The sequence below is a fragment of the Homo sapiens genome, chromosome 12 (assembly GCF_000001405.40).
Source record: "Homo sapiens chromosome 12, GRCh38.p14 Primary Assembly".
Lineage (NCBI taxonomy): Eukaryota > Metazoa > Chordata > Mammalia > Primates > Hominidae > Homo > Homo sapiens.
Window position 1 is genome coordinate 85,109,981 of NC_000012.12, and position 14,881 is coordinate 85,124,861.

Consider the following 14,881-nt stretch of genomic DNA (forward strand, 5'->3'; position numbering starts at 1 on the left):
TCTCTGAATCCCCAGTAGTAAAATGAGGATGATAGTCTCATGGGGTGGTTATGAGAACTGAATGGTATAATACGCATAATTTATTTAGAACAATTCTTAGAACGTGGTAAGATAATGAAAATTTACTATTTCCCATTACCATGTTAACCAGATTATATATGGGATCTTATTTAATCACCAAGTATTTTATGAACTCCTCCTGTATGCAGTGTCCTCAGTGTCCTAACATGTTGGACATTATGAAGGAGATTTAATGTAACCCATAATTTTAAGACATTTTTCTAATCATACTGGGGAGATAAAATGTAGGCACAGAATTGATAACCATGAAAAATAATAATGATCAAAACCACTAATACAACATTCACTCTGTGCTCAACACTGTTCTCATTTAATCTATACAATATGCCTAATAATTATGTATGTAACCCAGCCTCCCATTTTATAGTTGAGGAAACTGAGTCCCATAAAGGCTAAATAACTTGACCAAGGTTACATAGCTATCAAGTAGAGGAGCCAGGAAATCTAACTCATGCAGTCTGGCTGCAAAATCTACGCTTGTAACTCTTAGAGTTTTTGTGTCTAATAAAACACTAGTGTCAAATGATTATTGTAGGCAACATATAAGCTTTAAAAATTTAGAAAAATCATCTCAGTTTAGTGTGACAAGGAGAAACGGCCTTGGCTAAAGGGGCACACTTTTAGTTAAACCTCAGAAGTTTGCTAAGATTTAAAATCATAAAGAACTAATAAAAGCAATTCTGGGGGAGGAATATCCAAGAAAAGTAAGGAAGGTCAGATGTAGCTAGACTCTGTTTGAAGCTAGTCTATTCAGATGTAAAATGGGTATACTGGGAAATACCATTGGAAGGAGATGAGAAATCAAGTACTTACAGTGGTCAGAGAATAGACGAAGTACTCTCTCTATATATTACTTTATTTCACAGCACCCCTGTAAGTTGGGTTCTGTAATTGTCATTCTCATTTTAGAGAGGTATTTACAAAAGCCTAGAAACCTTATGATTTGAATAGTACTTATCTCATAGGGTAATATAGGTTAGGCTTCATAAAAAATAACCCAGAAATCTGTGTGGTTCAATACTAGATTATTTCTTGTTTACATTACATTTGATGTGGGTTCAGCCTGTATAATGTAGGCAGACTCAGAAACTCAGGCTGCTTCCATTTTGTAGACCTGTTTCATGTGGCTTCACTGTACTTGGCTTTTGTAAGCTAGTGGATTGTGGTAGGAGAGAGGGAAAGGGACCGACCATAGGGAAGGGTACAACTGACATATAACCACTCTGCTTTCACAGGTGGCAGTCATCACTTCACTCATATTCCATTCCGTTGACTGGTTCCATTCATGTAACTGGTCATATCACCAAACCTACTGCACGAGAGGCTAGAAAAGGTAAAGAACAAGGCAGTCATCACTTCACTCATATTCCACTCCGTTGACTAGTTCCATTCGTGTAACTAGTCATATCACCAAACCTACTTCACAAGAGGCTAGAAAAGGTAAAGAACATCAGCCAACACTAACAGTCTGTGTGAAGGCTAAATATGCTACCACATGAAAGCAATTTATAGAGTGCCTCTCACCTGCCACACTAAGAAAATATTAACTATTGTTTTTAGTGAGCAATAGAGAACATTTGAATATATGTGTGGTTATAAAAATGGTAGATTACATGTTTAGTTCTGAATATATTTCTGGCATTGTCCCAGACATTTTGTATTTCTACCAGAAATAAGCATTTTGGGAAGACTTTTTTCATCAGCAAACCGATAAGAGATTAGGAAACAAGTGACCAAATTTATTAGAGTCCAGGAATTATAAAGGGCTAAAATTCAGTCATGGAAATAGCCCCAAATTATTGTACAGATTCTTCCAGAATAGAGCTGGAAGGGGACATATGTACCATATATATGTATATGGTATTAGACATTTTATATATATATACACACACACACACACACACACACTCTCTCTCTCAATTCTTTCATTTTGTTAATAAATAAAAATTGAGGTGCAGAGATTAATTAGCATACATTAGATACGACATGTTTGCATGCACAGTTTTCTAAAAAATGTCAAAATATCTAAAAAATGATTTCTAAAAACATCTGAAGTATAAAAGTTTCCAGAGATGGAAAGATTAAATAAATATTGTTCATTTTATTATATCCTTGGATAGGACATTCTTCAATCTTGCATAGTTTATCATCTCCTGAATAGCTAGACTACATCTTCTTAGATTTGGATCTATTTTCTCTTAAAATGATTTTTATAGGGTTTATACCCTTGATATTATTTCCTCTCTTTTATTTACACATAGTTTTTAAAATCAATATTAATATTTTCTATTAATATTAAAGTTAATGTATAAATAGGCTATTTCTATACTTTTTATATTAATAGCATAAGAAATATTTCTAACTTGGAATATATATTGTTTTCCCATTCATACTAAACATATGCTATTATTTTCTCATGGCTTTCTTTTGCTTTTTAAGAGTTTTGCTTCTGAAAGACAAAGCAAGAAGAATTTTATGTTCTGAAATAATCTCTTTGGGTACTGGGGATTCTGTAGTTATAAAAATGGCAGTTTACATTTTTATTTCTGGATATATTTCTTGCATTGTCCCAGGCACTTCTTATTTCTACCAGAGAAAATTGGTCACTGCCTCAAGGCATGGGTTATTTTAGGGAAGTCTCAAATATTTTACTCATTCAGATGCGATTTCAGGGAAGCCATTAAAAATGCGTTAGTTGGACTCATGTAATGAGAACATACTCTTCCCCTCTCATTCTCTTATAGATAAGATCTTTTAACTTACTATCTCACAGGCTATCTTTAGGGCACAAAATCCCTGTTCTCCCGAATGTCTGGATGGCTTTTCTTGCCTCTTATTTAATTTATAATAAGCTTATGGCTTCCCTCTTGTCTTTTTGCTTTAGCAAGTTGGCATTCTGTTTACTCAGAGATAAATATCTCTCTTCATTTATTGGGGAAAGGATATAATCACTTTTCCTTACTAATATTATACTTTAGTCCTTCACCATGTGCCCTTTGGATGCATATGGTCAATTCTCAATCCGGAGACATTTGTGGCACCTTGAGTACAAATGTTCAGACCAGTTTCCTTAACTTTTGTTGAATACAAGAACAGAATTGCAATTTTAAAGAGAACAGAAGGAAACATAATTGGTGACAGAATTACCATTTATATCTTGGAAACAAATTCTGGAGGGTGCAGAGTACATTTCCTTTATTTTTTTAAAGGACATATATTCATTTACGCAGAGAGTTTAACAGCTTGATCTGCAGTACTGAATTGTGTAGATTGCACTTAGTTTGTCCATTTCAGGTTTGTGTTGTAGCATTTCACTGAGATCTGTTAAATTGAGAAATTTTATTTATATCCATTAATTTTTAAAAGGATATAATCTAAAACAGCCAACTAAAATGTTATATCCCTAATGGAAAAAATTTTGTTTATTGTTTTTGCTTCGGTTACATAGTACCAGCACAGTCCCTTGTATGTAATAGACACCCCAAAATATTTGTTGAACAAATACATTACAGTATTTAATTACATTGTAATGTGTAAAGGCTTGAGAAATTGCGTGTTTCTGCCCCCCTCCGCCAAGTTTTTCTATTGAACTCATTTAATTTTACATTAGTGATTAGAAATGTTATTCCTGATAAATTGACAACTGGTGTTATTGCTAATTCACAGTAATTGTCAGTATCAGGAATTGTGAAACTACAGTACTCAGACTTCTAAAGTGCTGTAGTATTTATCACATTCCCCAGGTTTCCTGAGAAACTGAACTATAGGACATATTACTACAAGAAATGTCAACTGTTGATGTCAAATCATAAGGGTATCAGAAATTTCAATTATTCAAATGAGTTTTGTGTGTGTGTGTGTGTGTGTGTGTGTGTGTGTGTGTGTGAAAGGCCACCTAAATGTGTTTCTAGACCTTTCGTGCACTGGGTATAGGACCCCCTCATCTGGAATAGAAGCAATCGATATTTCCACTTACCTGTAGTGACTCAAGTTCTGGGGCTATGCTTCTTTTACACTGGGTTTAAAGTACTCCTAATCTCCAAGTTTGGGATCCTCACTTTTAGGAGCTGGATCTTAAAGTGAAACTTCTCATACAAAAACAAGAGTATAATTACATCTAAAAGGCACTGCTTGGCAAGTAATACTGTTTATAATGAAAATATCTGATGGGTTGTTTTTAGGTGGATTTTTTTTTCCTAGTAACTATACGGGCCAAGCCTAGATGACAAATAAAAAATACTAGCTTTTCCCATGATTCAGAGCACGTCCTTTTAGGGCCATGAATTGTTTGTTAGTTGTTGAGCAAAAATGACATGAATTATCTTGCTGATCTGGTGTCACTTTCCATCCAAATAGCTGCCACATTGCCAGTTTCAACAACCAGAAACAAAATTAATGTCTCAAATAATCTTTCAATGTATTTTTTATCATTTTGTTTGCATGAAGCATGAACACTTATTTTATTGACTAAAACATACTTGTGGGAAAATAAATTGACATATTTTATTACAAATTTGTAAAGATAAATATTCACATTTTACTGCTTTTGTTGAGTTTATGTGATTTAGAGTTTTACAGAAAATACATAAGAATATGAAAGAAAATAAATAATATTTATAAGTATGAAAAATGATTTGGCTATAATTTCTATATTTAAATGAACTTTTCTGGACTAGAGTAATTCCCACTTTAGAATGTTGGCTGTCAAGTTTCATTTACATCAGTTGGCCTATACTTAATTTGAGAAATTCATTTATCTAAAGGATTTTAAATCTGTAAATCTATAAAATATGGATTTATTAATCAAAGGATCAACTCAAACTTTAAGCAGTGTATTCCAATGAACTTTACATAACCCCATGATACCAACAAAAGGATTAGTTATAAATTTTCCCAACTGGCTTCTTACTTTCATGTCTAGCCAGTGATAACAGGGACAATGCTGATGTACTAAAAAAATCTCTTTTTAAAACTTAATCCATAGACTCAGTTTGAAATCTCCTTTGGGAATTTCTCTCATTCATTCATGATTAATAGAGCTTCTTAAGTGGTGGAATATTCACCAGGAAATTTTCACCAAATGAAATATTGGTTCAGCCCTTGATTAGGAGGCGCCCAGCTGGAAAAGCTAATGTTGAGATCTCACAGTATTCTGATACTTCATTTCCAACATTCATCAACTTGTTATGACACTTTCTAATATATTCATCATAAACTCTTATAAGTCTGCATTTAGAACTTGAGGCCAATCCATGCACTGCTCTGTTATGCAGTTCTGAGGATTGTTCTTTAATAAGTAAATAACATGAAGAAAATGTTTAAAATAAAACACTAACTCCAATCTGGATACTGATTATATAAATCACAAATTTCAAGATATTGTTATAGTCTTAAATATCCAAGCAAACTAAATATCTACATTCAAAGGAATTCCAAATACTAAATCATTTGGAAACTTTTTATATAAAGGTGATAAACATAACATCAAAGTATTCCTAACGTAAAAATTCAACCTCTCTTGATCCACATTCCCTAGAATTGTTCCCCATACCTGAAATATTGGATGTAATATTTATATCAGCATCTATGACCAAAATATAGTATTTCATGATAAAATCATTACTTTGTTCCTTGCTGATCTGGTATCAGTTTCCATCTGAACAACTTTTGTGTAGTAACAGTTGCAACAACTAGAAACAAACCTATACTTCCATATTATCTTTGAATGTATTTATTTTTATTGTTTGGAGTATAAAATATTTTTTATTAAATAAAATATGCTTATAGTAAAATATATTTATCTGTTCATTTTTCTGATAAAACAAATATTTATATTAGATTATTGTGTTAAAGTAGCTCTTCATTTTGTCATTAATTATTCTGCATAGAAGCCCAGTGTCTCTATGTATTTGAAATGTACTCTCTAAATTCAGAGTTCCAGGAATACTGTTCTAAGACACGGTCATACTCTTTATGTAAAACAAGTGGAAATGTTAACCGGTGAACAAATTATCGTAGTATAACTGCAGCAGTGCCACAATATTTCTTATTGTACTTAGCAAATTCTTTTTTTGTTGTTGTTTGTTTGTTTGTTTGTTTGAGACGGAGTCTCGCTCTGTCGCCCAGGCTGGAGTGCAGTGGCGCGATCTCGGCTCACTGCAAGCTCCGCCTCCCGGGTTCATGCCATTCTCCTGCCTCAGCCACCCGAGTAGCTGGGACTACAGGCGCCCACCACCACGCCTGGCTAATTGTACTTTTTTTTTTAGTAGAGACGGGGTTTCATTGTGTTAGCCAGGCTGGTCTGGATCTCCTGACCTCGTGATCCGCCCGCCTCGGCCTCCCAAAGTGCTGGGATTACAGGCGTGAGCCACCGGGCACGGCCGGGTTCTTATTCTTTAGTGTGCATAAAGAAGGCTATATTTAAAAAATAAAGCTTACCCCAACCTATCAGCAGGGTTATTTCATACAATCAAAGACAGCAGTTTTCTTTTTTTCTGTTACTTTTATTTTAGGTTTTGGAGCAGATGTGAAGGTTTGTTACACAGGTAAACACATGTCATGGGGGTTTGTTGTAGATATTATTTCCTCACCCAGGTATGAAGCCCAGTACCCAATAGTTATCTTTTCTGTTCCTCTCCCTCCTCCCACACTCCTGGCTCAAGTAGACCCCAATGTCTGTTGTTTTCTTCTTTGTGTTCATAATTCTTATCATTTAGCTCCCACTTAAAAGTGAGAACATGTAGTATTTTGTTTCTGCCTTAGTTTGCTAAGGATAATAGCCTCCAGCTCCATCCATGTTACCACAAAGGACATGATCTCGTTCTTTTTTTTTTTTTATGGCTGCATATATTCCATGGTGTATATGTACCACATTTTCTTTATCCAATCTGTCATTGATAGTCATTTAGGTTGATTCCATGTCTTTGCTATTGTGAGTAGTGCTGCAATGAACATTTGCGTGCATGTGGAAAGACTGCATTTTTCAAAGCATCCCAGGTACAACTGATACAGTAGTTCATAAACAGTCATTTCGGAAACACTGCCCTGCAGTGTTGGAGGCACACTATAAGGATCTAGCCTTGAATTTCTTTCTTGAGGGATATAGAGAGTGAATAAGAAGCAGTTTGTTAGACCTTGGGAATATCAGGTAGCAGCCAGAGTGTTATCTTGCTTTGATGACGTCTCCTCATTCAGCCAAAATGAGACTTGAAAGATGGCTACTCAAAAGGGTCTCACAGGCATTATTGCATTTGCACTACCACTGTGGATCCAGGATCACTTTTCCCGGTGAAAAGTATGGAAGTTTCAACAGCTTACTGTTACTATTTAACTAGAAATTATTATAGTAGGAGAAGAAAAAATCTGCTTCATATAACTCCAAAAAGATACAACTTAAAAAAGAAAATCTGCTTTATTAATTTTTCTTGTAAGATATATCTATTTCAAAGACTAGAACATGACTTTGGCAGACCTCCTTTTTTCACATTCATTCACTCAGGTCCACTCTAGAGATCAAGGTGTCAGACAAAAATCTGCTTGGCATCCAAAGAATTAGAATAAACTGTGGGTTATTCTCAAGAGCTATTTCCATCAAGTTGTTGAAGCTTTATGTTTAGTCTTCTAATTTAGGAAATTGAATCTTGAAAAAGGTCCAGCAACAGAATCAGAGTATCTTCTTTTTGATACTGGTTGAAGAGATGCATTCTTAACTGCCAGTACACTTTATTGTCACATCTTAAAAACATCATTAGTTCATACCTGGCATTTTATAATCATAACTAAGTAAGTTATTTTGGCATCACAGTCATGCCTTTAAGAAAACTTGACTGAGTAATTTTATGGAGATTTAGAATACAATGTAGCTTCATCAGTAATACAGTAAACAACTTGGTGAGGTGGGTTATGGACAGCTGATTTCTTCATTTATTTTTGGTTATTACCAGTTTTATTTTCAGAAAGTAACCTTTCTTTGTTTTGAAGAAAGCCCTGGTCAAAGATTATCCCTGGTGATTATCTCTGATTATCTCCTAACCCCTCTGATGAATAGCTGTTATCTTAACATAACATTCTGCCTTTGAACCATGTCTTAAAATTAATGCAACCAGAAACACGATGTATGTTATTTATTCCTTTGTGGCAAATAGGGTAGTTTATGATTTGGTAAACATTGGTAGCTTCAAAACTACTGAACAAGTTCAAAATATATGGACTCATATTTTCTTAACTTGATCAAACTATTTATTAGCAAAGCGTCAAGATTTTTATCTGCTTCATAATATGTAGATCATCTGATAATTACCTTGAAGAAACAAATCCAGTTTATTTCCCTCTTCCCTTATTTAAATATTGATGAGAAAAAAGGTTTCAGTTTTCTTTCAGGGGAGGGAGCAGAGTGGGGGTTGGGAGCTATTTCTGCTCTCAGTACATGAAAAACTATGTTTTTTTTTTTTTTTTGCTTTTATAGAGGAAAATGTATTTATCTATCTCTTGTAATTATTTTTTAATTTACTATTACTACCAAGACTACTAAGATTATAACTATACACAGAGATACATTATTACTTTGGTTGGCCCTAGGCATTTTTGCCTTCATGGGCCACTTCTTTTGTAATACATATACATATGCTAAAATTATATTTCATAACTGTTTGTATAAATGAATATTTCATCTCAGACTATACAATCTAGGTAGAGATCTGCCTGAAGTTTTATTTCTTAAATCTTAACATTTTAATAATCTCGCTTTGTCATTCTTCATTTAGTGTTTAGGAATTGTTACTTTCTTTTTTTAATTAATAAAATTTATTTTTAGAGTAGTCATAGGTTAACAGCAAAACTGAGCAGAAAGTACAGAGTTCCCACATACCTCAACCCCATACATGCACAACATTTCCTGCTATCAAAATTCTGCACCAGAGAGGTATATTTGTCACCATCAATGAGTCTACATTGACATTGTCACTCAATGCCCGTAGTTTACATTAGGGTTCACTCTTGGTGTTTCATAATCTATAAGTTTTGACAAACGTATAATTACATGTATCCACTATTGTAGTATGATAAACTATAGTTTCACTGCCCTAAAATCTGTGCTTTGCCTATTCATCTCTGCCTCCCACCAACCCATGACAACTAGCGATCTTACTGTCTAAATAGTTTTGCCTTTTCTAGAATGTCATTAAATTGGAACAATATAGTATGTGAATTTTTTCATATTGACTTCTTTCACTTAATAATATGCACTTAACTTTTCTCCACCTCTTTTCATGGCTTCCTAGTTCACTTCATTTTAGCACTGAATAATATCCTATTTTCTAGTTGTAGCACAGTTTATTATCCACTCACCTACTGAATGACATCTTGGTTGCTTCCAAGTTTTGGCGATTATGAATAAAGCTGCTATAAACATCTGTTTACAGATTTTTGTGTGAATATAAATTTTCAATTCATTTGAATAAATGCCAAGGAGTATTATTGCTGGGTCATTTGGTGAGATTTAATTTAGTTTTATAGGAAATTGTCAAATTGTCTTCCAAAGTGGCTGTACCATTTTGCATTCCCACCAGCAACGAATGTGAGTTTCTCTTGCTCTATATCTTCACCAGCATTTGGTATTGTCAGTATTTCTGGGTTTTGGTTATTCTAATAGGTACGTAGTGGTATCACATTGTCTCGTTGTTATTTTAATTTTCAATTTTCTAATGAATATCATGCCGAACATCTTCTTATATGCTGGCTTGTCATCTGTATATATTCTTTAGTAAGGTGTCTGTTGAGGTTTCTTGCCTATTTTTAAATTAGTTTGTGCATTTTCTGATTGTTGACTTTTGTTCTTTGATATATTGGATAACAGTTCTTAAACAGATACATCTTTTGAAATGTTGTCTCCCAGTCTGTGGCTTGTCTTCTCATTCTCTTGAGATTGTCTTTCATACAGTAGAAAATTTTAATTTTAATGAAGTCAAATGTATTTTTTCTTTCCTTGATTTATACCTTTGGTGATTTTTGAACTCTCCTTCCTTTTGCATTTTATCTAAAAAATCATCATCATACCAAAGGTCATCTAGATTTTCTCCTATATTATATTCTAGGAGTTTTAACATTCTATATTTTACATTTAGGTCTTTGATTCCTTCTGAGATAATATTTTGTGAAGGGTGTAGTCTGTCTAGCTTCATGCTTACTCATGTGGATTTTGAGTTGTCCCAGGACCATTTGTTGAAAAGACCATCTTAGCTCTATTGTACTGGTGTTGCTCCTTTGCCAAAGATCAGTTCGCTATATTTGTGTGGATCTATTTCTGGACTTTCTATTCTGTTCCTTTGATCTGTCTATTCTTTCACCAATACCATACTGTCTCTACTACTATAGCTTCATATTAAGTCTTGAAATCAGTTAGTGTCAGTCTTCTAACTGTTGTTTTCCTTCAATATTGAGTTGGCTATTTTGGATCTTTTACCTCTCTATATAAACTTTAGAAACACTTTGTTGATATCCACAAAATACCTTGCTATAATTTTGATTGGCAGTGAGTTTAATCTATAGATCAATAAGGGAATAACTTATATCTGGACAATATTGAGTCTTCCTATCCATGAACCCCCCCAGTGGGATATCTCTTGATTTATTTAGTTCATCTTGGATATCTTTCATTAGAGTTGTATAGTTTCCCCATAGGAACTATTAGTTTTTAATTAGGGGATTAACTTTATTGAAGGAGTTCACTTTTCCCCTGTAACTATCAGCAGCCTGGTGAAAAGAGACCTACACTCTCTCCTTGAGAAGGGTTTCGGCTAGTAGTTCTAAATGGCTGAGCTTGATGGAAAGCTCTTGCTGTCTGACCTGGCTTTTTCACAGCATTAGTTTTTGTTTTTTTGTTTGTTTGTTTGTTTTTTGTTTTTTTTGTTTGTTTGTTTTTGTTTTTTGAGATGGAGCCTCGCTCTGTCACCAGGCTGGAGAGCAGTGGCACGATCTTGGGTCACTGCAACCTCCACCTCCCCGGTTCAAGTGATTCTCCTGCCTCAGCCTCCCGGCTAACTGGGATTACAGGTGCGCACCACCAAAAATTGATATAGACTTTTGCAAATACCTTGAAGATTTTTACCTTTATAATCCTTAGCAAGATTCAGGAGAAAATATAATTGTAGATGTTCCAGATCATGATAAACAGGGTAATATCCTACCTCTTTTGTTTTAGTCCTACTCTCAGTATATTTTACTAAGAGAAACAGAATATACCTCTATTTCTGAAATAAAAGACAACTTTTGGTAAGATTATTATAGTTATCTTCTGTTTAAAAGTTTATCTAATATTATTATTCTTTTCATAATGCATCTTTTTACACTCCAAATTCCAGCCTGAGTTTCCAAGTTTCAATCTTTCATTTGTGTTTTAGAAGAAAAAGGTTAAAGAACTAACTCTAAAACTTACTTTGTATATGACCTGATGCCATGCTTTTTAAAGAAATGTAACAACAACAAAAACAAAATCTAACTCTATCATTTTCCCTACAGTCACATTTTCTGAGATATATATCCTATGCTTGTATTATTTAAATGATTAGTATATGGTTATTTAGATACATACTCTCCTTATCAAGATCAGGATTATTAACTTTTTTGTTGTTTTCAATAGGGATTCTCTACTTAAAGTGTTGCCTGCTCTGAGAATCCTCAATGGCAATATACTAAACTCTAATTCAGAAAGCCGCACTGAAGAACACAATCAACTGGGATCAGCAGGTTTCCTGGCACTTTGTCAGTCTCAGATTCGAGAATTCAACTTGCTAATTGAAAATTATATAACTGGAAAAGGGTAAGATTGTGATCTTCCCATTGATGTATTTAGAATCAATAATGTAATTTATAAATGTGATTTTAAAGTATTCTGATTAACACAATTATACTTTTTTGGATTAGAACAGTGTGTTTTGGGGATATTCTACCTTTAAAAACTTTGGACATCATGTTTTTATTCTTGAAATATATTAATATGTATTTTGAACATAATTTCAAATATTTAAATGCTACAATATTAGATAAAGAAAATGAAAGCATGTGGATAGCATCAAGACAAGAGGCAAAAATTCATAATTATTCAGTCATAATTTTATTCAATAATTATTGTAGGCAAGACTATTTATCCCCAAATAATTCACAAATTAACATAAGAGAAAATTGGGTAAACACCTAGAATAGAGTGAGGTAAGTTTTATAACACATGTAATTTATATTACATATTAAAATAGTGTACATATACTTACGTATCAAGGTATCATGGGAGCACAGTAGAAAAAAGCAGTCAGCACTTGCACCCATTTAGACTACAGAAGTTGACAGTAATCAGAATCAAATGTTGAAGAAAGAAAACTTCCTATTCCCCACCTCGAATTCTGAATGCATTATAATTGATATTTCTAAAACTGTACTTTTTAATTTGCATTATGTCAGGAAATGTAAATTATAAACAAAGATGATTTTGTATTGTTTCACTTACAATGACTCTTCATTGCAATTGGAAAAATAACATGCACTTCCAAATGTCTAAATTTTCCTACTAAATTATATTCTTAAGGTTTTGCTATTGATACTTTTATATATGCTTGTCCTATGTAAAAGTTCGTTTTCTGTGTAAATATTTTTGAACATAGTCTATTTTGATTAAAAAGAAATCTCACATCATTAAAAATAATTTCAATTGTTATAAGTAATGTTTAATGTAACAAATACTGCGATTATTTACATTTGTCTTTATGCAAATCTAAAATAATATTTACTTGTATATATGTGGTAATATACAATTTTGTATGTAAAGGTGACTCTTCACATTCCCTTGAAGTCCAAATTTCAACATGAGATTTTAAATGTAGTCCTTTGGAACTTAAGTTTTATTTTAGCATTGAAAATGGAAAGACTATAGGAAGAAAGAAAATTCTAATTTTATAATATGTAAAATAGACTATATTTTATATGTTGAATGCATAAGTGGTGGTGAGTTCAACAAGTAACCATAAACACTTAATATTCTAATATTGAACTTTTTTTGCATTATTAGCCAATGAAATGAATGAAATACAAAATATAAAACATATATTGGATGAGCCTATGCTAATGTCTAAAATTACCTTTGTGAACATAGGAGCTATCAAATTGTCTCTACATTTTTGGAAATAATTGTAACTTTCATTTTGTTTGATGTGATTAACATTTTATTTTTTATATACTGTATTTTTTCAGAAAAAAATTAGGCAGCTTGTGGCAATATATTAAATATAGCCAGAAAATACAAGTTAGAAATAAGCAAAAATTTTTAGACATGAAATAAAAATAAAGGAAGACAAAATGTAGCCAAGAATAAGGCTCATACAAGTGAAAAGTCCTTTACATTTCTTACTGAGAACTTCAAATCCAGCCAACATTAAATTTTGATTAATTATACAAGTTATAAAATTCAAAAGCTAGAAATCCAATCATTGTTCAAGAGAATCTTAGCCATTAATGTCTTAAAGTACTTGAATTCTCTTTGCAATAGATTATTATTTTTCCAGAGATAAATGGGAATAAAAATTTTCCCATAATGTAAGTTCTTTGTTTAAAAGTCCAATACAAATATTTTGCGTGGCAAAAGTCAATGTAGAAAGCACTTTTAACTTTATTTCATAAATAACTTCTCCAAATTTAGTCAGCCATGATTTCTCATGTTTATGGTAATAAAAGCATGAATTTTTCTCATTCATTTATACCAAAAATACCTAGAATAAAAATGGTCCTAAAACTTCCAGACATTTTGTCTGGACTGATGGTTCTAAATTAACTAAACAAATGTTTTCAAATTTTGTTATAAACGAGATCAATTTTTATATAAACAACTAGAAATAATCTATAATGAATGTTGTACTGAAGTTTAATATTCATTTGAGGCCATACAGTGAAATTTTCAAAACTTGCACAAGTTTTAATATTTGCTGGTACTATTCTTATTAAATGTTCTCATCATTTATTTGTTCAGAGATGTATTTACCTTGGATACTGCAGAAAATCTCTGTCATTATTTTAAGAAATTGATGATACTTAGTACTGAATACCGACATGCACACGAACGAGGGGATGTAACTATCACCAAGAAAGATGAATCAGAAGCCCAGAAAAATCATTTGGCCCCTACAAACAGTGACAGCACTCTGCAAAATGGAGTCTTCTACTCTTGTGCACGTGAAGGTGAGCCAGACTCACCAGATATTCCTGAGAAATGGATGGACTCTGTCTCCAGCCACTCCCCATTAAGCAAATCCGCCACATGTGAAAATATGGAAGGAAGACATCAGGAAATATTAGTATGTCAGAAGAGAGAAGACAGCAAGGCAAGCAGTATTCCCACCATAAGAATCCCATTTAAGGAAGTAGTAATGACAAATTCTTTGCTGAGGAATCACCAAAATATTGAGCCTAGTGAAAAAATGTAAGATATATAAATAATGTTTCTTTTATAGATGTATGTTTACTCCTTTTGATGGATGATATTAGTCAATGGTACCTAGTAATTTGCTGAAGGATTCAAATCACAATCATATTTCATACCGATTCCATTATGTTTTCGTGAGGTGCATTATGTTTTCATGAGGTGCACAAATCATTAATTATAGTGCATATTAATTTGATTAAATTCTCATTTAATTTCTAGTAGTATTTAAATGAGTAAATGTGAGTTTTTTTCTGCCTTGTAATTTCTAAATAATTAATATGTTTTAAGGAGAAATAAAATATCACAGTCTAAAAATAATAAAAACATTTTCTGAGTAAT

General features: G+C 32.8%; 1 protein-coding gene across 18 annotated transcripts in view; it reads left to right on the forward strand.

The window, feature by feature from the left end:
* LRRIQ1 (leucine rich repeats and IQ motif containing 1) overlaps nucleotides 1–14,881 on the forward strand; it is a 236,455-nt gene that overhangs the window by 73,630 nt on the left and 147,944 nt on the right. For all 18 annotated transcript variants that reach the window (XR_944764.3, XM_011538819.4, XM_024449222.2 and 15 more), the window contains 2 exons: nucleotides 11,717–11,896; nucleotides 14,090–14,539. Coding sequence is in view for 17 of the 18 variants with exons in the window: in XM_011538819.4 (XP_011537121.1) it covers nucleotides 11,717–11,896; nucleotides 14,090–14,539 (630 nt within the window). In the remaining variant the exon portion in view is untranslated. The remainder of the gene's footprint in view (nucleotides 1–11,716; nucleotides 11,897–14,089; nucleotides 14,540–14,881) is intronic.